The 23,645-nt window shown below is 39.7% G+C and overlaps 6 annotated features.

Annotated features, from left to right (window-relative positions):
- Positions 951–1,050: an enhancer, noted in NCBI's record as "active region_6141". NCBI's record gives its function as "activates an Ori minimal core promoter by ATAC-STARR-seq in GM12878 lymphoblastoid cells {active_cell/tissue: GM12878}" and the evidence as "EXISTENCE:reporter gene assay evidence [ECO:0000049][PMID:35858748]".
- Positions 1,081–1,200: an enhancer, noted in NCBI's record as "active region_6140". NCBI's record gives its function as "activates an Ori minimal core promoter by ATAC-STARR-seq in GM12878 lymphoblastoid cells {active_cell/tissue: GM12878}" and the evidence as "EXISTENCE:reporter gene assay evidence [ECO:0000049][PMID:35858748]".
- Positions 16,802–16,871: an enhancer, noted in NCBI's record as "active region_6139". NCBI's record gives its function as "activates an Ori minimal core promoter by ATAC-STARR-seq in GM12878 lymphoblastoid cells {active_cell/tissue: GM12878}" and the evidence as "EXISTENCE:reporter gene assay evidence [ECO:0000049][PMID:35858748]".
- Positions 18,531–18,600: an enhancer, noted in NCBI's record as "active region_6138". NCBI's record gives its function as "activates an Ori minimal core promoter by ATAC-STARR-seq in GM12878 lymphoblastoid cells {active_cell/tissue: GM12878}" and the evidence as "EXISTENCE:reporter gene assay evidence [ECO:0000049][PMID:35858748]".
- Positions 18,621–18,790: an enhancer, noted in NCBI's record as "active region_6137". NCBI's record gives its function as "activates an Ori minimal core promoter by ATAC-STARR-seq in GM12878 lymphoblastoid cells {active_cell/tissue: GM12878}" and the evidence as "EXISTENCE:reporter gene assay evidence [ECO:0000049][PMID:35858748]".
- Positions 18,931–18,980: an enhancer, noted in NCBI's record as "active region_6136". NCBI's record gives its function as "activates an Ori minimal core promoter by ATAC-STARR-seq in GM12878 lymphoblastoid cells {active_cell/tissue: GM12878}" and the evidence as "EXISTENCE:reporter gene assay evidence [ECO:0000049][PMID:35858748]".

The following is a 23,645-nucleotide window of genomic DNA, read 5'->3' as shown; positions in this document are numbered from 1 at the left end:
CTAAGAGTGCTTGACTCCTGGCTCCTCTTCTCATAGCCATGACTTTCAAAAGGACTCTAACGGAGACCAGACAACTAAGTATAGTTGAGTTTGTTTGAAAATGAAGACTCTATTTTACAAGCTGCATGGGACTTTCACTGGGCCATTTAATCATCCACGACAGTCCATTCAGAGCTATCACCAGACTGTCTTCTGCAAATTACTTTATAAACCTGGAAACAGTGACTTCTAATTGATCCCTGCTTTATTTTTTAACTGACTTGACTAGACTGAAAAAAGGCTGAATCACATTAGAGATTTTTTAGCATAATTTTTCTTGATATTATGGATTGACATCCCTCAGTTCACAATTGACATTACATCACAATCATATAGAGGGTCGCTCTTGAAAAAGTATGTTTCCGAAGATCATTTGATATTCGTGGTTTTCTAAATTCTAAACCATTACTTGCAACAGTTTCCACTATGTTAAAACAGTTGAACTTCCTTTTTAGTTATCTCCTCCCACTAGAGAATGTGAACTTCAGGGCAAACTACTAGAAGTGACTCAAAGGCAATGCACACTTTACATTTCCAAGCCTGTTACCAAACTACCATCCAGAGGTTACACCAGTTTCCACGCTACCAGCAGGCAGTACAAGAAAATTCCCATTTCCCCACATGCTTGCTCACACTGGGTTTTGTTTATATTTTTAATCTAGGCAGTGAAAGAAAGTCTAAGACCTTGACAGGAAAGCCACTTCACAGGCATGCAATCTATGTTCCTCTTCTTCGTTTCAGCTCTGGGGTTAAGGTTGGGGATAAGGCTATGTAGGGAAGTAAGTTACAAAACCTGTGGCTTGTTTAAATGTAGCGAATTCTAGTAGAGTCTGGGGCAGGCAAGATCATTCTTGGTGTTAGCTGGTGCTGTGTTGATAATTTTGGTTGAATTATTTTATGAAGCTACAGAGAGGGATTGTGGGGGAGAAGTTACTGGATGTGCTTCTCATTCATTCTGCTATACTCTACAACCTCCCCAGGAATCAGGTGGTTGCTTTCAGCGGGTTAGCTTCATGCATTTTATGCTGATTTGATTTCCTGGAGAAAATAACCCAAATAGGGCTTTCAAGGAATTTTTTTTTTTATCTGATTAGACAACACAGGGCCTTGTGGAGAAGGTTAAGAAATTGTTGTTGTTGTTGTTGCTATAGAGACAAGATCTGACCATGTTACCCAGGCTGGAGTGCTGTGGCTGTTCACAGGTGTGATTATGGCATACTGCAGGCTCAAACTCCTGGGCTTAAGTGATCCTCCTGCCTCAGCATCCCGAGTAGCTGAGACTCCAGGTGTGTGCCACCATGCCCAGCTAAGATTTATCTTCATATAATAGCAATAGAAAGCTGTTGCAGAGCTCTGGGCAGAGGCGTTTTATTTACAAGTATTAAGTTGTATATTGCAAGCTGTCTGGGGCAAGAGTAACTTGGCAAGCAGAAATGAATATCTGGTCTACTTGTGGTATGCCCTACCAGGGCTGAATGCTACAAAGGTTATCAGATAAATTGGATCAATTAAAATCAAATAAATCAATCATTGTATTCATCAAGTAAATTTCTGATTTGACTTCCCATGTAGATTTTCTTATGAGGTAAGAGTATGTCAATTAGCCAATAGAAATTTTTGATTTGCTTGGCAATTACATTTTTCATTATAAATTCCCACTCTCAAATTGCCACATGTTCTCCTCTCAGTTACACTACCCTTACTCCGTATTGGTTCCTCTGAGTTTGGTCACCTCTGACAAAGTTAAATTTCTGGACATGAAAAGCTAAGAATCAAGCTCTGACTATCCTAAGCAATCCAGACACAATCTCTTGTTAACATCTTTGTGTTGTTACTCTCAGACTACAACAGTTCCTAGGGTAGAATTATGATGGAGTAAAATTCTTATAACAAGATTAATATGTATACTTCCTGGGAAATTTCAATATATTAAAAATGTTTATAAATAGACCTGTTTTACAACTTGAAATGCTTATCAAAAGCCCCACTCACATATGTAAAATGGTCCAGTCTTAGGTCAGCTTTCCTGGGAAATCTGAAATACTCAGATTAATGTGCTGGAGATGTATTGGAAAGTGCTCTCTGGATCAACTCAGGTGAGAGAGAGAAGACAGCAAGATCAGGCAAAGAAGTTGAAATGTAATGCAGTTGCAACAGAGGCTTCAGCCTCTCCCACAAGGGGCTCTGGAGTTGGGATGGCTCTTCAGAGTTGTCCCTGTTGAGGCACAGGACCAGGCCTTTGTACCCCAACCTCAATCAGCCATTGGATGTGGGAGAGAAAGCCCACCTGGCAGAGGGCAGTAACTGGAGAAGGACTCGGCTGGGGACTCTTAGAAGCCAGCAGTTCCGGCTGCTGTAGTAATGAGAGCCGCAATCCTAGAAGGTGGATTTGGGTGGTGCACCACAGCATCTGCTACCAGCCCACTGAAAGCTTCTTCCTCTATCTTCAGCTTGTTATATTGCAGATGCCAATAAGACAGTCATAAAGTCTGCTCTAGGCTGGGTGTGGTGACTCATGCTTGTAATCTCAACACTTTGAGAGGCTGAAGTGGGAGGATCACTTGAGCCCAGGAGTTCAAGACCAGCCTGGGCAACAAAGGGAGACCACAGCTCTACAAAAAAAAGTAAAAATTATAGTGGTGGCATGCATCTGTAGTCCCAACTACTTGGGAGGCTGAGGTGGAAGGACTGCTTGAGCCCAGGAGGTCCAGGCTGCAGTGAGCTGGGATGGTACCACTGCACTTCAGCCTAGGTGACAGGGGACCCTGCCTCAAAAAACAAAAAATAAAAATGAAACTACTCCTTAAGAATGCCCCATTCTGCCTCCTGATGTGCCGTAGTAAGGTCACATCACTTCTATATTACCCTGTTTACCCTCAATCTAATCATGAAGAAACAAAGTGGATATTTGACAAATTAATTGGCCTATACTGTTCAAAATGCAAATGTCATGAAAAGCAAAGATCAACCAAAAAACTGTTCCCAATTTTAAAAGACTAAAGCCATAGTACAACTACATGCAACGTGTAATTCCCAATTAGACCCTTGACTAGATTTTTTTTTTACTATTATTTGATAGAAAAGACATTATTGAGACAACTGGTAAAATATGATTAAGATCTGTAAGTTACATAATGTTAACATAAATTTTCTGGTTTTGATCATTGTTCTGTGGTGTAAGAGAATCTCCTTGCTCTTAAGAAATACAGCAGCATTTAAGTATAAAAAGGTAAGATGTTCTGCTTAAGCAGTATTATTTAATTTTATCTCAAATATTCCCAGTTTTGCCCCATGAAAAAACTTCAGTATCTGTCAATGGAGAGAACGTGACATTTTCAGTAACTAGGACTAATTGTGCCTCACAGAAAAATGTGTTTACCTGGAATGTCTACAAGGAGAATAGATGTTGTTTTCTAAAAGGGCCCTTTCATATAGCTTTTTACAAGATCCAGGTGGCTCCACTTTTTTCAGACTTGTGCAACTACCTCCTTCCTGCCTATGCATTTTGTTCTTTAGGTCCAAAGGCTCAGTTTCACTTACATTCTCCCTTTGATTTTTTTTTAAAAGAACAATTTGTTGTGAACTAGTTCCTTATGATGGAAATACCGTTAGTGAATTTCCATGGGGATTACAGTATCTAAATAATCTATGTTCAATCAGTAAGGTGCTTTGAATCCTGCTGTGTCCTTCAGTGTGAAGTAATATTGTTATAAATCTTTACAATCACTTAATGTTTTCATCAAAGGATCCCAAAGCTATTTATAAGCACTAATTAAGCAATTCAACACACCTGTGAACACATTGAATATTCTCATTTTAAAGACTGATTCAATTAAAGAACAATTAAAAGGATGGTTGATAGATGTATGCAAATAATGTATATGTCTTATATGGGATATAAAATAAATTAGAAAAAAATTTGAGCATTAGGATTAGGCCTAACCTATTTACTTATTTATATATTTCTAGTATATATAGGGTGAACAAATCCTCCCAGTTTGCCTGTGACTTTGTTAGTTTTAGCACAGAAAATCCTGTGTCCTGGAAATTCCCTCAATTCCAGGCAAACCAGAATAGTTGGTTACCCTAAATATACCTTCTGCTTTTATTTTAAGTTAAATTAATAAATATTAACTATATACCTTAAGAGCCAGGCATGGTGGCTCACATCTGTAATCCCAGCACTTTTGGAGGCTGAGGCAGGAGGATTGTTTGAGGTCAGGAGTTAAGACCAGCCCAGGCAACATAGTGAGACCCTGTCTCTCTCTACATAAATTTTCTTAAAAATTAGCCGGGCATGGTACCGTGCACCTATAGTCCCAGCTACTCAGGAGGCTAATGCAGAGGATCACTTGAGCCCAGGAGTTCAAGGTTATAGAGAGCTATGTTCGTGCCACTGTGCTCCAGCCTGGATGACAGAGTGAGACCCTGTCTCTAAAACAACTAAAGTTATAGACTGGTCAGCTGGACTTGTAAACTTAAAATCATACTCTGTTCTACAAGAGTGAAACTTGTGAAATTTACATGGGCTTTTTCATTTTCCACCTATTTTTTAACTTGTTTTTTTTTTTGAAGAAATGAATATGTAAATAGTGGTACAAATAAAATTATATGTTGTTCCTAGCTTCTTGTGAGCCCAGTCTTAAAATTCATAACACTAAGAAATAAAAGTTATTAAATTTTAGGGCTTGGAACTTCAACATGGAAAGGTTCATTAGGAAAAACATAAAATGTCAAAAAACACATCAACAGAATTCTCAGAGACGTTGTGAGGAATAATAGACTCTGGGGACAAATACCAAATATATATATGTGTGTATATATGTGTGTGTGTGTGTGTGTGTATGTATATGTGTATATATATATATATATATATATATATATATATATATATATATATATATTTATTTATTTATTATATCACATATGCAGAGGGATTGTGGCCTGAGAGGGAGTAGACCAGCTGGCCAGAACTCTTTAGAGTTCTATTTTCATGGGGTAGGAAGTGAAATGAAAATCCATGATTATTTGAAGGTCTGTAAGTGGAACCATCACTCTTTTCCTACTCGCCTCTTCCATGTTTGGTAGAATGTCGGGTAGCCGGCCCTTACCCGCAATCCATGTCCCCCTTGTGGTGGTAAGGTGGTCAGATGAAATACAAGATGTTCAATTCAGTTTGAATTTCATAGGCACAATGAACTGTTTTTTAGTGTTAAGGGTGTCCCTAAGTATTGCATGGAACATACACTACTATTAATATAAAATGGTTTCTTTTTTGTCTGAAATTCAAGTTGAACTGGTTGACCATTTTCCCCCCTAAATCTGGCAACCTTACTTCTTGGTCACAAAGTGGAGGATTTTTTTTTTAATAGAAAGAGAACAAGAGCAGCAAGCATATGTGTTAGACTTCCACAGTGTTTCCACTTTCATTTAGGAATTTGGGGGCCAACCAGTATATTGGCTGGCTCCAGAAGTAAGGTCTGCTAGTAAAGTCTGGAAATCCCATCCATATTCACAGTTAAACTTTCTCTTGTCCCATTCTTAAATATGAATAGATAATGGGCTTTTTGATGAAAGTCTACAACATTAAAGAGAGAATTCAAGATAAATAAATAAATAAGGTGATCCTGGGGAAAACAACTAATGCATGGAATAGGTTAGAACTTTTTTAAGATATATATAAAACACTCAGAGACATTGAGATGACACTGTGCTATGGGTGGAATCATGTCCCCCCGCCCCCACCCCCCGCCAAATTCATAAGCTGAAGTCCCAACTCTCAGTACTTCAGAATGTGACGGTATTTGAAGAAAGGGTCTTTAAAGAGGTAATTATAGGTATATGCCCAAAAGAAAGGAAATCATTATATCGAAGAGATATCTGCACTCCCATGATTGTTGCAGCACTGTTCACAATAGCCAAGATTTGGAAGCAGCCTAAGTGTCCATCAACAGATGAATGGACAAAGAAAATGTGATACATATACACAATGGAGTACTATTCAGCCATAAAAAAGAATGAGACCCTGTCATTTGCAACAACATGGATAGAACTGGAGATCGTTACATTAAGTAAAATAATCCAGGCACAGAAAGACAAACAGCACATATTTTCACCTATCTGGGGAAGCTAAAAAATTAAAACAATTGAACTCATGGAGATAGAGAGTAGAGGGTTACCAGAGGCTAAGAAAGGTAGTTGGGGCAGGGGGATGGTGAGGGGAAAATTGTGATTATTAATGGGTACAAAAAATAGAAAGAATGAATAAGAACCAGTATTTGATAGCAAAACAGGGTGATTATAGTCAATAATAATTTAATTGTACATTTAAAAATAACAAGAGAATATAATTGAATTGTTTGAAACACAAAGGATAAATGCTTGAGGTGATGGATATCCATTTATCTGATGTAATTATTACATATTGCACGCCTGTATCAAAACATCTCACGTAACCCACCAATATATACACCTACTATGTACCCACAATTTGTTTTAATTTGGCAGGGAAAACAAGAGATAATTAAGTAAAAATGGGCCCTTATCCAATTTTACTGCTGTCTTTGTAAGAAGAGATTAGAACATAGCCATGTACAGAGAAAAGATGATATAAAGACACAGGGTGAAGACGGCTATCTACGAACTAAGGAGAGAGGCCTTGGAAGACACCAACCCTTCTGACACCTTGATCTCAGATTTCTAGTCTCTGGAATTGTGAGAAAATAAGTTTCTGTTGTGTCCACCCAGTCTGTGGTACTTTGTTATGGAAGCCCTAGCAGATTAATGTACATTGTATTCCTAAAATAGGAATATATGCTTTGGAAAAGAAAAAATCAGAAAACAAATCTTATTCTTGGAATTTAAAAATACAACTGACAAAAAAATATGTAAAATCTTGGAAAGTAATATAAGGAAATCTTGCAAAAGTGAAAAATAGGTGAGAAAGTAAAGAAATAAGGGATCATTCACCTTAAGAGGAGAGGAATTTACTCAACTCATAGGTATTTGAGGGTACAAACCCATGGCAGGGCTCGGCTCTAAAAATGTCTTATCTAAGATTCCTTCTATGAAACAGAGTTCCATCAAAGCCAATTTAAAAAGAGCTTATGTGAAAAATAATTATTCTTGCTGCACTTTGTACAAATAATCAGGCCAAGTAAAATAAAGCAAATCAGTCTTACCATGATTTGTCTTTAGTAAAAATGGGAAACTGGAGAGAGAAATATTATATTTCAAGAACTATGGTACACTTGTTATTAAATTCTAGTCTCATCAGTTATTTTTAATTTTGTTTCTGCAATTTAGGCTAACTCTGCTTATTCCTGTGAACCAACCAGTGATCTCTGACTGCTGCTCGGAAGACACAAGAAGGGTGGGTAATGTAAAAATCTGAATCAATATTCTAATTCTGGGCACACTGGAATCAGCTAGCAACCCCATATCAGCTTGGTTCCAACAGTTGCGCAGTTCATGGAAAGCCTTCTAATTTAGTTTACTTGGGATAATTTTGCTTATTTTGGTTTACTTTGTGGAATATATTGCTGTTGTACTCTGTGTGGGAAAGCTGAATAAGCTTACTCAACATTTTCTTAAACTGAATACTTATTAATCTTCCAGATATTACCTTTTGTCAGAACTCAAGAGTCACGAATGACCCTCACCATACTGATGTTTTCTGACTGAGTTCCTCTCTACCTTGAATATGAGAGACCCTAATAGTTACGCAGGAATATCATCGCCCCTATTCAGCCTGAAGAAGTTACAGAAGATGAATCTTCATTCCTCTGCAACCCTTAGGATTAAGGGTTCTCTTAGAAAAGGGAGGGAGTAGCTGGGCAGGGTGGCTCAACGCCTGTAATGCCAGCACTTTGGGAGGCTGAGGTGGGTGGATCACCTGAGGTCAGGAGTTTGAGACCAGCCTGGCCAACATGGCAAAACCACGTCTCTACTAAAAATACAAAAATCAGCCAGGTATGGTGGCAGGTGCCTGTAATGCCAGCTACTTGGGACGCTGAGGCAGGAGAATTGCTTGAACCCAGGAGCAGAGGTTGCAGTGAGCTGAGATCACACCACTGGCCTCCAGCCTGGGCCACAGAGTGAAACTCCGTCTCAAAAAAAAAAAAAAAAAAAGGTGGGGAGAGGGGAAATGTCAGAGGTGTTTAAATCAGAGCAACTCCATCTTGAATAGAGGCTGGGTAAAATGAGGCTGAGACCTACTGGGCTGCATTCCCAGATGGTTAAGGCGTTCTAAATCACTGGATGAGATAGGAGATTGGCACAAGATACAGGTCATAAAGACCTTGCTGATAAAACAAGTTGCAGTAAAGAAGCTGGCTAAAACCCACCAAAACCAATATGGCCACCTCTTGTCATCCTCACTGTTACACTCCCACCAGTGCCATGACAGTTTACAAGTGCCATGGAAACATTAGAAAGTTACCCTATATGGTCTAAAAAGGGGAGGCATGAATAATCCACCTCTGTTTAGCATATCATCAAGAAATAACCATAAAAATGGGTAACCAGCAGCCCTTGGGGCTACTCTATGGAGTAGCCATTCTTTTATTCCTTTACTTTCCTAGTAAACTTGCATGAGAGAAAGAAGGAAGGGAGGGAGGGAGGGATGGACTTGCATTCAGTTTAAGAGAAAGAAGAAGGGAAGGGGAGGGGAGGGGAGGGAAAAGGGAAGGAGTTTCAGAAAGTCCAAAGTGGCTAAAGAGCATTTCAGAAAGAAAGAATAGCAAAATAATAGAAAAGCTAAATGAAAAAACAAACTGTCTTCAAGTTGAAAAAGCCCTTTGATTGCAGAGCAGGAGTGAAGGAAGAAAGGGAGAGAGAGAAGGAAAGAAAGGAAGGGAGGAAAGAAAGAAAAATCCTAGGTATATTACTGAGAATGCATAATAAACCCTAAAAGCTTCTGGAAAGCAAGTTAAAACGCACACACACACACACACACACACACACACACACACACACACACATATCACTATCAAAGGAAAGAACGTCAGAGTAGCTGCCAAAATTCAAAGAGAAATGAGTCTCAACCCAGAAGCCTATGGCTAGGCAAACTATCAATTAGGTTGAGGCAGAATACAGATGTTGTCAAATATGTGAGGATTTGGAAATTTTACTCCCAATGCATCCTTCCTTAGAAAGTCATTTGAATATATTCTCTAGCAAAATGGAGAAATGGAAGTCCATGGGTCCTATCGAGGAAAGCAATGAAGGGAAGTGCCAGGATAGCATCTATTTAGCAAGTTTAAGAGAGACATTCCTTCATTTATTCAGCAAGTATTTATTGTGCACTTGCTACATGCTAGGCAGTCTTCTGGGTGCTGGAGCTACAACAGTGAGTAAGAGAGAAGAGAGACACCATTATGCTTGCATTCCAATGAGGGACATAGAAAAGATGTAAAGAAATACATGTGTGAGCTAATTGTAGGTACTGATAAATGCCATGATGGAAAATAAAGCAGGGAAAGAAGTGTACTGGTGCAGGTGGAATGGACAAGGACAGTCTCTCTGAGGGATGACACTTGGGCTGAGGCCTGAGTGAAATGAGGAACTAACTGGGTGATAGGAAACTCTGGGAGAAATGTATTCCAGGAAGAGGAAACAGCAAATGCAAGGTCCAGCTATAGAAATGAGCTTTGTGTGTTTGAAGAGTGAGAAGAAAGTAACCGTTGCAGGAATGTTGGGAGTGAAATAAGTGTGGTAGGAGATGATCTCTGAGGAATAAGCAGGGCCCTTCTCTACTGTGTTGGCTGGGACAAGACATCATTGGAGGGTCTTGAGCAAGAGAATAAAGTGAGCAGAATAATGGAAGAGTATGGGAAAAGGGGGCCTTAATGAGCTAGAAGTATGATTGAAATGATGGAAAGTCTTAAGGATCAGGGCAAACAATTAAAAGGAAAAAATGGAAAGTCATTTGAAACTCGAGGGAAAAAAGGTTGTACAAGAAAATCAATATAATCTTAGCACATTACATGGCTCTCCATTGAAAACAATAATATAAGTAATTTTCACTGACTTTTAACTTTTAGGATCAATCTATAATAAAACCAAAATAGATTTCATTATGTTTGCATAAAAGGTAAGAAGAAGGATGAGGCATTAATGAAATAGGGAGTTAGGAGATCTTATCTATAGGTTAATGGACAAGAAATAGAGGTTTAATTATTTAAAATTTCAAAAGTAAGCAACCGAAGAACTAAAAATGTTTAGTTAAATATATTGGCAGGAGAGGAGAAAGGTGAGTATAGTTTTGGAAGGGAACTAAATTCTCAATGATCATAGCAGGAAGTCAGTAGATAATGTCTGAAGTTGATCAATCAATCAAAAACGTAAGTATAAGCATATTATTTACAGAAGTGGAGGTAACCATTGGAATTACAAGTTCTGGCCTCTGGAGAGAGGGCCAGAGAAGAAAAGTGAGGGGCAGAGGATTATTACTTGTTGTTATAAGCCCTTGAGTCTTTAATGTTTTTTAATAGCACATATATTAGTTTGACTTTAAAAACATTTTAGGCCAGGAACAATGGCTCACACCTGTAATCTCAACATTTAGGGAGGCCGAGGTGGGTGGATAACTTGAGGCTGGGAGTTCGAGACCAGCCTGGCCAACATGGTGAAACTCTGCCTCTATTAAAAATACAAAAACATTAGCCAGGCATGGTGGCACACACCTGTAATCCCAGCTACTCGGGAGGCTGAGGCACGAGAATCATTTGAACCTGGGAGATGGAGGTTGCAGTGAACTGAGATTGCACCACTGCACTCCAGCCTGGGCAACAGAGCTAGACTCTGTCTCAAAATAATTTAATTTTGTGTATATCAATCAATCAATAAATAAATCTAGACCCACCAAATCTATTTGTCTACATGAAGTCAAGATTTTCTTTTATGATCCAGCAATAGGTCCAAGTGAAATAAAATGATCTACTTCTTTTTTTTTTTTTTTTTTTGGGACAGAGTTTCACTCTTGTTGCCCAAGCTGCAGTGCAATGGCATGATCGTGGCTCACCACAACCTCTGCCTCCCGGGTTCAAGTGATTCTCCTGCCTCAGCCTCCCAGGTAGCTGGGATTACAGGCATGTGCAACCACACCTGGCTAATTTTGTATTTTCAGTAGAGACGGGGTTTCTCCACGTTGGTCAGGCTGGTCTCAAACTCCCGACCTCAGGTGATCGACCCGCCTTGGCCTCCCAAAGTGCTGGGATTACAGGCGTGAGCCACTGCGCCCGGCCAAAATGATCTACTTCTAAAAGATCCACCCTGAAGTGTCTATACATGAATGTAGGAGGATGGGAGTGAAGAAGCATTAAACAGAGCTAGCGGAATAGCACAGTAGTTAGGAGCATGGCCTCTGGAAGCAGACTCTGTGAATTTGAATCCCAGCTTTGCCTCTCACTAACTGTGTGACCTTGGGAAAGATACTTTACTTCTCTGTTCCTCAGTTTCCTGTAAAATGGGGGTCATAAAAGTACCTACCTCATATGGCTTTAAGCAGTAAATAAGTTAATCTTTGTAATGTATAGATAAAACAGTGTCAGCTGGGTGCAGTGGCTCATACTTGTAATCCCAGCAATTTGGGAAGCCTAGACAGGAGGATTGCTTGAGCCCAGGAGTTCAAGACCAGCCTGGGCAACATGGTAAAACCCTATCTATACAAAAACTTTAAAAATTAGCTGGGCATGGTGGCACGCAGCTATAGTCCTAGATACTCAGGAGGCTGAGGTAAGAGAATCGCTTGGGCCTGGGAGGTGGAGGTTACAGTCCAGCCTGGGTGACAGAGTGAGACCTTGTCTCAAAAAACAAAACAAAAAAAACGGTGTCTGCACGTTGTTGGCATTAAATTCATATTTCTTTAAATTACAAAGCACAGTATGATTTGAGGGCAATAGAAGAGTGTTCCAGCCAAATTTCTCTCTCCTACAGGTATGAAATTCCATTATTATAGATTTTGTTGAAGGATTTACAATATTTTAGAATGCTCCATGAATAGAGTTCTCTTGAGAGGAATTACATCTTAAATTCTCATTTGCTCCAAACTTGTTTGAATTAATCAAACCCTTTCCAACCTTGATCCTTATCTGAACATAGGGCATCCTTGTTAGGTAGCTGAGATAGAGGAAGGGGCTGGTTTGCCAAGAGAGTAGAAAGCATCAAAAAGGGAGGTGAGAAGACAGTTCCACAGGGAACTAACTAGGAGGACTCTAGGCAAACAACCTCATGGTTTGGCCAAGGACCAGACTTTAACGAATAGTCTTGGCTCCTGTTTCCCCATGGCCTGTCCTATTCCTGTCTGTCTCACACTGACACGTTTGAACCAGGATAGACCAGGGAATGTGTTCCGGGTTTGGCACAGGCTCAAGTTATTTATTACCAGACTGAAAAGAAAAAAAAAAAGCCATGTTGGTTCTGGATCTGTCATGGGGTCAAACCCCAAGGACTATGTTTTTCACATTTATTTTTGTTCAAGACTCACTGGCTACTGCAAAAGACTAGAATCCCAAAGGGTGGTCCCTGAACCAGTTCAGCCTTGAGGGCTTGGGAGGGGCTGTTTGTTCAGGCAGGAAACAGCTCACAGAAACTCAACCCGCCTTTGGGAGTGGTTGCCTTGGGAGACCTTTCAATCCCCTCGGAATGGGGCCTCTGGCTGGCTGACCTCTACTCTTTCCACAAGAACAGTGTCTGCATTTGAGTGGAAAGAACATGTGTACAAGTGAGGACTTGCCCCACTTCAAGATGAGAATTTCTGATCCATAGACAGTCTGCTTTGGGAGTTGATGAAATCTGAAGTGTGGCCTTTTATAGGAAGCTTTTTCAAGATTTTAGGTTTCACTTTGAGAGAAACATGATATAGGAGGAAACTGGGCTGGATCAAACAGTCACCATCTGTATTTGCATTTAACATACAGAAATCATAAAATTTTAAGGCTGGAGAAGACTTGACCAGATGACAATCTGGTCCTTCTCCCTTCTTCCTATACGCGAGGAAGATCTGAAGGAATTAAGTCATGAATAACCTCAGTCACCATCTATTGAGTAACTGAGATTAAACTCAAGTGTACTGACATCCAGGAAGTAATTCAGTTCCTCTTACTCCACTTGTAACCTGAAAGGCATTTGGGAGAAACTATGTAAGACTTGGAGAAAATATAGAGCTCGGGCCTGTAATCCCAGCACTTTGGGAGGCCGAGGCGGGTGGATCACCAGAGGTCAGGAGTTCGAGACCAGCGTGGCCAATATGGTGAAACCCCATCTCTACTAAAAATACAAAAAATTAGCTGGAAGTAGTGGCAGGCACCTGTAATCCTAGCTACTTGGGAGGCTGAGGCAGGAGAATCACTTGAACCTGGGAGGCAGAGGTTGCAGTGAGCCCAGCTCATGCCATTGCACTCCAGCCTGGGCAACAAGAGCAAAACTCTGTCTCAAAAAAAAAAAAAAAAAAAAAAAAGAAAATATGTTATTTTCTTTGTATGATTATTACCTATAAAAATACAAAAATAATTTCAAACGCTATAAAAATTTTTAAGTTTCTAAATGGTTTAACATGTGTTAAAGCCATCTTTGTCTCATAACCACCTGTAACCTATGACATGTTCAATGAGAAACCTTCCAGAAGCAACTCACACTGGGAGTTGGTCTAGACCTCTGAAGTGGAGTGTAACTGATAAGGAAAAAAGAAGCTCTAGATGTCTCTCTTGAACCCCCATTCCCACCAAAAAGGCCGGGCTTATATGTCTGGGAGTTGCCAAGGGCAAAAGAAACTTGGAGGCTTAAGACTGGCAATGGCCAGGCCAGGGCAGTCTAGCCCAGCATGTCAATTCTACTGTGGGTCCAAGGCAAGGATTCTAGATCCAGAGTACCCATGAGCTGGGGACAGAAAAAAAGGAGAGGGGACAGGAAAGTCTGGGAGCAAACAGGTAGGAACCAGACACATAGAACTGTTCCCACCTAGGAATAAGCCCATCACTCTCTAACTGTCTCAGCATGGATGGTCTATGGTCTAGGCTGTAAAGTGTATCCATCCTAAAATATGGAAATACTAACGTAAGATCAGACTTTGACAAAATAAATGCATGGGGACTACAAAGTGACTGAATGCTTAAAAGGGTGGAAGTAGGAACGGAGTGGGGAATGGAAGATGTCAGAGAAGAAAGCAAACTCTTCTTAATGGGGCAGTATTGATGAAAATGAGCCTTTGCTACTCAATGCTTTTATCTGCCTTTCACTGACTCATCACTTATACCCTTTTTTTTAGCTAATACATCTTTAATAGGCTTCATTTTTTAGAGCAGTTTTAGGTTCACAGCAAAATTGAATGGAAAGTACAGAGAGTTCCCAGATACCCCCTACCTCCCCACACATAGCCTCCCCAACTGTCAACATCTAGCACCAGAATGACATATTTGTTATAATCGATGAGCCTACATTGACACATCATTATCACTAAAAGTCCATAGTTTACACTAAGGTTCACTCTTGGTGCTGTTCATTCAATGGGTTTTGAAAAATGTATGATGACATGTGTCCACTATTATAATATTATACAAAACAGTTTCACTGCCCTGAAAATATTATGTGTTCTGCCTAGTCATCCCTACCTCCCTGCTAACCTCTGGCAAACACTGATTGTTTTACTATCTCCATAATTTTTGTATTTTTCCAGAATGTGATATAGTTGGAACCATACAGTATGTAGCCTTTCAAACTGGCTTTTTCACTCAGTGACATGGATTTAAGGTTCTTCCATATATTTTAATGCCTTAATAGCTCATTTCTTTTAGCACCGAAAAATATTCTATTGTTTGGATGTCCCACAGTTTATGTATCCATTCCTCTACTGAAGGACATCTTTGTTGTTTCCAAGTCTTGGCATTTATGAATAAAGGTGCTGTAAATAGCCATGGACAGGTTTTTGTGTGGACATAACTTTTCAACTTATTTAGGTAAATACCAAGGAAGGTAACTGCTGGATCATATGGTAAGAGTATGTTTGATTTTGTAAAAAAAACTGCCACACTATCTTGCAAAGTGGTGCAGCCACTTTGCATTTAGTAGTTTGCATTTTTCTAATGGCATATGATATTATATCGAGCATCTTTTCATATACTTGTCATCTCTGTATGGTCTTTGGTGAGGTCTCTGTTAAGGTTTTTTGCCCATTTTTTAATCAGGTTGTTCATTTTTAATTGTTGAGTTTTAAGAGTTCTTTGTATATTTTAGATAACAGTCCTTTATCACATATGTCATTTGCAAATATTTTCTTCCATCTGTGGCTTATCTTCTCATTCTCTTGCAGAGCAGAAGTTGTAAATTTTAATGAAGTTTAGCTTACCAACTTCTTATTTCATGGATCATGACTTTAGTATTGTATTTTAAAAGTCATTGCCATACCCAAGGTCATCTAGATTTTTTTCCAGGGTTATTATCTAGGAGATTTTAATAGTTTCACATTTTACATATAGGTCTATGATCCATTCTGAATTAATTTTTGTGAAGGGTGTAAAGTCTGTGTCTAGATTCAATTTTTGTTTTCCATTTGGATGTTCCATTGTTCCAGCACCTTTTGTTGAAAAGTTTCTCTTTTTCTCTATTTTATTGCCTTGTTACTTTGTCAAAGATCAGTTTTATTATATTTATGTAAATTATTTCTGGCTTCTCTATTCTGTTCCATTGATCTATCTGTCTATTCTTTCACCACTATCACACTGTCTTTGTTATGGTATAGTGTTGGTCCTCTGACTTCGTTCTTCTTCTTCAATATTGTGTTGGCTATTCTGGGTCTTTTTCCCTTCCTATAAACTTTAAAATCAGTTTGTTCATGTTCACAAAATATATTGCTGGGCTTTTTATTGAGAATGCATTAAATCTATAGATCAAGTTGGGAAGAATTGAAATCTTGACCAGATAAGTCTTCCTGTCCATGAACATGGAATATCTTTCCAATCATTTAGATCTTTTTAAATTTTTCTTATCAGAGTTTTATACTCTTCATTATCTAGAACTTCTTCATATATTATTAGATTTCTACCAATTTCATTTTGGGGAATGCTGATGTAAATGGTATTGTGGTTTTTATTTCAAATTTCATTTGTTCATTGCTGGTATATGAGAAAGCAATTGACTTTTTTTTTTTTTTTTTTTTGGAGACAGGGTCTTACTCTGTCACCCAGGCTGGAGCACAGTGGCATGGTCATGGCTCACTGCAGCCTTGACCTCCCAAGCTCAAGTGATCCTCCCACCTCAACCTCCCAAATAGCTGAGACTACAGGCACATGCCACAGTGCCCGGCTAATTTTTCTATTTTTTGTAGAGACATGGTTTCACCATGTTGCCCAGGCTGGTCTCGAACTCCTGGGCTAAAGCAGTTTACCACCTCAGCCTCCTAAAACTGCTGGGATTATAGGCGTGAGCCACTGCACTTGGTTGCAATTGACTTTTGGATGTTAACCATATCCTGCACTAGTTCCAGGAGTTCTCCTTGTTGATTCTTTCAGATTTTCTAAATATACAAATTTTAAAGTTTTGTTACACCAATTTCTTCTTTCAGTTTTTGTCACTGAAGCAGCAGAGGTAGGGGAAAGGGATTTGTGGACAGAGACAATTTTTCTTCTGATTCCCCAGGCTGAACTGAGCAGAGCTGGAATTCAGATCACAGGATACCTGGAAGGGTGGCCAGTGGAAAGGAGAGATAGTGGGGAATAAGATAATTACCCACTTTCCCGATTTTTTTTGCCTGATTCTCAGCTATTGAGTCCTACCTCCCTTTCCCCGATGCTTTCTTTGCCCAAACAGCCGTGGATGGTTGGAGATCTTCTCTCATTCTCAGGGCTCTGGACAATGCCTCCAAAATTTCTAATGCAGAACTGGCTGGTCCTCAAGTTTGTTCTTCTGCAATCCTGGCTACCCAGCTGGTCTCCAAAGTCTCTTCAGTTAAGCAATCTGGGGCTGGGGGGTGGGGAGATCTTTGCGGCTTTATCCTACCCTTCACGTCCAACCACCCAGCAAGCCTGGGCCAAGTCAAGCAGCCCCTACAAGCAATATCCTACCAATGTGTATTCAACATTGATTTGGTCAGGATATGGAGAAATGTATTATTTTTTAATCAATAAAAAGTCTAAGTAGAAACAGATTTTTAAAATAATCCACTTCTACTAGCTGAAGAACAGGAAATGTTCTAAAAAAAGTTTAATGATCAGTTCCCATTTTTCTGAAGCTCATCTTCTCACTTCAGTTTTGTTTATTCGTAATTTTAAGAACAAGAAATCATTTTGAGAGGTATATGAAAGGGTGAGTTAAACCACTCATTCTCGGGAAACAGCACTAGGCCACCTACTGTTGACTCAGAAGTTTCAACTGACCAAGAGTGCACAGGTGCATCTCAAAAATATCCATTTTAGATGCGCTGCTGCTAATAAAGTGTTGTTTTCATTTCCTTTTGAGAACTGTCAAAAGACAAAATTACAACAAATGTAGTTAAGTGATCTAATTGGCTTTTATTTGTGATGAATGGATCAGGGTACTATCTCCCATAAAAATTTAGAAAAGGTGGCTGGGCACCATGGCTCATGCCTGTAATCCCAACACTTTGGGAGGCCAAGGCAGGAGGATCACTTGATCCCAGAAGTTTGAGAACAGCCTGTGTAACAGAGAGAGACCCCCATCTCTACCCAAAATCAATCAATCAATAAAATAAAAAATTTAGAAAAGGTGATCTGATGAGCTAAGCAGAAGAGGTGGGCTTTATAGGCAGAAAAGGGGTTAAAAAAAAGCAGAAATAAGGAACAAAAAGTGAATCGGTCATTTCAAAGTTACTTTCCTTATCGGATTAAAGCAGGGGGTACTCCTTTATCATGCCAGCTAAAACTGGCCTGTTAGGGGATTTGGCTATGCTGTCTTTCCCTCTTTCTCTCTCTCCCCCTTAGTTTCTTGAAAGGTAGATGACTTAGTTTCTGTTTGGTGACATGAAACTTTAGCATGAGTGACTCCATTTTGGTTTGATCTGTAGAGGCCCAGTCCAAATCAATAGCATCGTACAAATTTTATTTAAAAGAATAGTGCTGCTGGGCGTGGTGGCTCATGCCTGTAATGCCAACAATTTGGGAGGCTGAGGCCAGTGGATCACTTGAGGTCAGGAGTTTGAGACCAGCCTGGCCAACATGCTGAAACTCCATCTCTACTAAAAAATACAAAAATTAGCCAGGCATGGTGGTGTGTGTCTGTAGTCCCAGCTACTCAGGAGGCTGAGGCATGAGAATTGCTTCAGCCTGGGAGGTGGAGGTTGCAGAGATTGCACCACTGCATTCCAGCCTGGGCGACACAACGAGACTCTGTCTCCATTAAAAAAAATAAAAAAAGGATAGTGTCTACCTCAGTGAGACTGGAGCCAGTTTTTAGCTCCACAGCTACATAAGGAGTTGATAGAAAAACTGGAGTAATGAACACTGTTTTCCAGTTCATCTCACTGGTGTGTGGAGTTGATTTGGTTTTGCCAGTGTTATTTAGCATCCTTTTAAAATCACCCCTCCCCAACCCATCTCCTCGTACAGCTGCCCACAGGCCTGGCTCAGAAATCTGTCTCAGAAACTGAGTACCACCTAGTCTAGTCACAGTTTCTTTATGAACTACTCTGCCTTGGCTCACTGACTTGAAGTTGACAACTTACTCTTGAATAATTTAACTCCTTTCTTGGAACTGACTCCTTCTTCAGACTTCTCTTAACTTTCACTTCTGCATGTGGGAAGAAAGTAAAGGTATTAGAGACACACTGTGTAACTGGCTACAGGGTACATGGACCTTATTTCCCCCTCCCTGACAGCAAGGGCTTGTACTCAGCCTGATGTCTGGGCATAATATAAACCTAGCTTGATCTCTATTCATCACAGTCTCCACCTTTACTTACTTGAGTGTGATGATTTGTTTGAGATGTTTTGCTTTACTCATGAGGGTATGGAAATACGAAAAAAAGATAGATTGACTCATACTGTAATTCTACACTGATACATTGCAGCAATATTAACATTAATTCAATTTAAAATTCCACATTCCACATGTGTATTTGGCAATGTAGTTCTGGGAGGTAATTTGGAAATACATATCAAAACCTTAACAATAGTTACATTAGTCAAGAGCCTTGATTGCCAAAGACAGAAAGCCAGTTCAGATTAGTTTAAATAAACAGGGAAATTTATTAGGTCAAATAATTGGACAAGTCTAGGGAAGCACCTTGCTTCGGTCATGGCTGAGACCAGGAACTGAAATGATGGCATCAGGCTGGGCGCAGTGGCTGACACCTCTAATCCCAGCACTTTGGAAGCCTGAAGCAGGAGGATCGCTTGAGGCCAGGAGTTCCAGACGAGCTGGGGCAACATAGTGAAACCCTATCTCTACAAAAATAAAAATAAATTAGCCAGGCATGGACGTGCACACCTGTAATCACAGCCACTGGGGAGGCTGAAGCAGGAGAATGGCTTGAACCCAAGAGTTTGAGGCTGCAGTGAACCATGAACGCGTCACTGCACTCCAGCCTGGGTGACAGTGAGACCTTGTCTCAAAAAAAAAAGAAAGAAAGAAAGAGAAAAAAGATGTCAGTAGGAATCCCCCTTTGTCACTTCATTATTTAGCTCTGCTTTCTTCCATGTTGGCATCAAGAGGGCCCTCATCAGTCCCAACCTTAAATGATTTTTGGTGCCATTTAAGAATTTCAGAAGGAAAGAGATGTTTTCATCCAAGAGTTATTATCAGACCTAGAAAATTTCCCTCTTATTGGCCCTACTTAGATCATATGCTCACTCCTGGACCAGTCACTGTGCCTGGAGTGGTAGGAGACAGGGCACTCTGATCAGTCCCAGCCATGTGATGAAACATTTTACCAGTTGTGGGAGAGGCAGATACTAAAAGGCAATGAGAGAGTGAGGTAGGAGGTCAGTTCTATCATGTGAAAATGAGAAGAAACTCTAGGCAGGCAGAAACAAGTGATATCAAAATACAATGTTCATTCTCGTCTATGAATATTTACCCTTAAGAAATAATCAGAAGTGTGAGAGAGTTATGCAGTTATTCCTCACAGAATTATGTATAATAATAAAAATTGGCTGAACATGGTGGCTCACGCCTGTAATCCCAGCATTTTAGGAGGCTGAGATGGGTGGATCACTGGGGCCCAGGAGTTCAAGACCAGCCAGGCAACATAGGGATACCCCTGCACTACAAAAAAAAAAAAAATTAAAAAATTAGTCAAGCTTCGTGGCACATGCCTGTAGTCCCAGCTACTCAGGAGGCTGAGGTGGGAGGATCACCTGAGCCAGGGAGGTTGAGGCTGCAGTGAGCCATGATCACGCCACTGCACTCCAGCCTGGGTGACAGTGAGACCTTGTCTCAAATAATACAATCTAGAAAGAATTGGAATGTTTAATAGTAAGGGATTTCTTGAATAAATTGGTACCTGGATTCAACAGAACACTATGTGGCCTTTGAAAAGTATTATAGAGGAAAACTCAGCGACATGAAAAAATGTTCAAGGTATCTTGTTAGGCACAACAACAGTATGCGAATCATGATCCCAATTTGTGTGTGTGTGTGTGTGTACATACACACACACACACACACACATATCTTTTTATATACATTTTATGCATATTATATACATTTTATCTATTTAAAACATAACATGTAAATGTTATGAAAGAGTGAAATAATATACTTTACAATGTTGATTACTTCTAGTTGTTGAAATTAGGGATAATTTTCATCATTCTGGTACTTTTCTCTATTTTCTACAGTAAATGTGTCTTTTTAAAAATTAAAAACATTATTGAAAAGCCTTTAATTCCTCCCTGCCAATTTAAAACTGATCATGCTATTTCTGTCTGTGAGAAAAGGAGCTGAAATGGAGAGTCTAATTACTGATAAATAGCAATCATCGGTTAGACTTTAAGCAGAGTATTTAGAAGAATAAATTATTCACCAGTATTTTAAGATTAGCTGAAACCCAAATGTATTCTCTATTATGTCTTATTTCCATATTTTGAGGCTTTATCTGTATGCACACTGCTGACTTTTTCAGAATTAATCAACCAGCCAGCTCCATGAAGAAAGTACAGGCCCAGATATCAGCACAGGGAGCGATTCAGGGTATCTTTTCTAAACTTCATAATTACTCTTGACTGTATCTGTAGAAAGCTGAATGCATTTCCATGCTGCTAGAGACAGGGAATTTTTCTCAATAGTATTCGTAACACTCAGATTAGAGGAAACTACTTCAGCAAAATAGAGAACAATAAACATCCTAAATGACCAAACCTATAGCTCCTAAATTGCTTACTCTGCTCATTTAAGTTTTCCTTGGAGAATTTTGATTTTGAATGAGACTTTACACCATCCAAAGAACCTCTGCATTATTCAACATTAGAAGAGAGGATTGCATAACTGGTCTCTCCCCAGTTTACCAACCAAGTATCAATGAGCCACCGTTCTGGCCAGTGAGATGTAAGTAGAAGTTGTTGGATGGGATGTGAGGAAAGTTCTTTTATCAAAAGCTTTCTCAGCTGACATGTGCTGTTTTGCTCTTTGCATTTTCCCTTCTTTTTTTACCTGGAATACAAATGCATTTTGAGTGGTAGAGCAGCCGTCTTGTGACAATGAGGTAACAAGTGCAAGGTCTAAGACCATCTGCTATGATAGCAGAGTAGGAACATGGAAGGAGCCTGAGTCCTGGTAGGCACTGTGAAGGGATCATACCAGCCTTGACTGCTTACCTCTGGATTTCTTATTTGTGCAACACATAACTCCCTTACTTGTTTAAGCTTTATATCAAGTTCACAGGGCATTTTCTTATGTCCTATAAATTAGCTAGGAATGCTAACCTAACGAATTCACAGGACATAAGAAAATGTTCGTGATATGTTGTTAAGCAAATATAGCAGGTTATAGAGCAATGTACAGAGCAGGTTACCAACTATTTATTAACATTTATGTGTGTGTGTGTATATATATATAATATATATATAAATGCACACAATACTTACATAAGCCTTTTATATATGTATATTTTTAATGCAAATTATACACATTTTATTTATATAAAGATAAAAGATGTGCTTAAGAAGAAAAGGAGGATGGTAATACCCACCTATGCAGCTGAATGGGATAAATCAACCTCCTGCAGTGAAGGGATTGGGAGTGACATCCAGTTTACCTGTTTATTCCTTCTCCCATAAGGGTTTGACTCATGAGAAATAAAACAATCAGTATGTGAAAAAAAATTCATACAAAACAAAAAGCAAATATTTATGAATTGTACAATACACATATTGATTTGTCTGGAAAACTGCAAAGCCCAGTACTGTATATAATTCAAGCTAAGAGGTTATTTTTCTATTAGAGTATGAGAATTCCAAATTTTTACTTTGTTGTCATCTGAGAGTTCCCAGTGAGAAGGTGAGACACTCAACCTTTAAATTACTGAACAAGGGAAGCCAGGCAGCTACCCATGCATGGGGTAGGAGAAAGGGATTTGAACTAGAAATAAGAAAATTTAAATTGTAGACAGTGCACTGAAAAACTTTACTTGTAAACTTTATTCCTAACGAATTCAAAACCAGGCAGCTCCCCATGCATGGGGCAGTAGAAAGGTTTTGAACTAGAAATAAGAAAATTTGAATTGTAGACACTGTACTGAAAAACTTTATTTGTAAAGAGGGTAATATGACTTGTCTTACTTTCTTCACAGGATGTTGTAAAATCAAATAAGATAATTACTGCAAAATGCTACACCAACATAATTTTTTTTTTAGACGCAGTCTTGCTCTGTTGCCCAGGCTGGAGTGCAGTGGCGTGATCTCGGCTCACTGCAACCTCTACCATCCAGGTTCAAACCATTCTCCAGCCTCAGCCTCCCAAGTAGCTGGGACTACAGGTATGGACCACTGCATCCAGCTAATTTTTGTATTTTTAGTAGATATGGGGTTTCACTGTGTTGGTCAGGCTGGTCTTGAACTCCTGACCTCAGGTGATCTGCCCACCTAGGCCTCCCAAAGTTCTGGGATTACAGGCATGAGCCACCATGCCCAGCCCACAAATGTAAATTAATAACAACACAAAAACCAGGCTTCTGCATGCCAGGCACTGTGCTACATACTTTATAAATTTTTAACTCATTCAATCCTCTCAAATAGCCAATGAGATTATGTGATGTGATTATGGGGCCCAGAACACTGGGCCCCAAAATACCCTGAGGTCAGTTCTCCCTGATGTATGCATTTTAGAGGTGGTCATATGTATGTTTAACAAATATAGGCCGGGCGCGGTGGCTCACACCTGTAATCCCAGCATTTTGGGAGGCAGAGGCGGGCGGATCACGAGGTCAGGAGATTGAGACCACCCTGGCTAACACAGTGAAACCCCGTCTCTACTAAAAATACAAAAATTAGCTGGGCGTGGTGGCGGGCGCCTGTAGTCCCAGCTACTCGGGAGGCTGAGGCAGGAGAATGGCATGAACGCGGGAGGCGGAGCTTGCAGTGAGCCGAGATTGTGCCACTGCACTCCAGCCTGGGCGACAGAGCGAGACTCCCTCTCAAAAAAAAAAAAAAAAAACCACC

Source organism: Homo sapiens, chromosome 12 (assembly GCF_000001405.40).
Source record: "Homo sapiens chromosome 12, GRCh38.p14 Primary Assembly".
NCBI classification, from domain to species: domain Eukaryota; kingdom Metazoa; phylum Chordata; class Mammalia; order Primates; family Hominidae; genus Homo; species Homo sapiens.
This window is presented reverse-complemented; position numbering and strand designations above follow the sequence as displayed.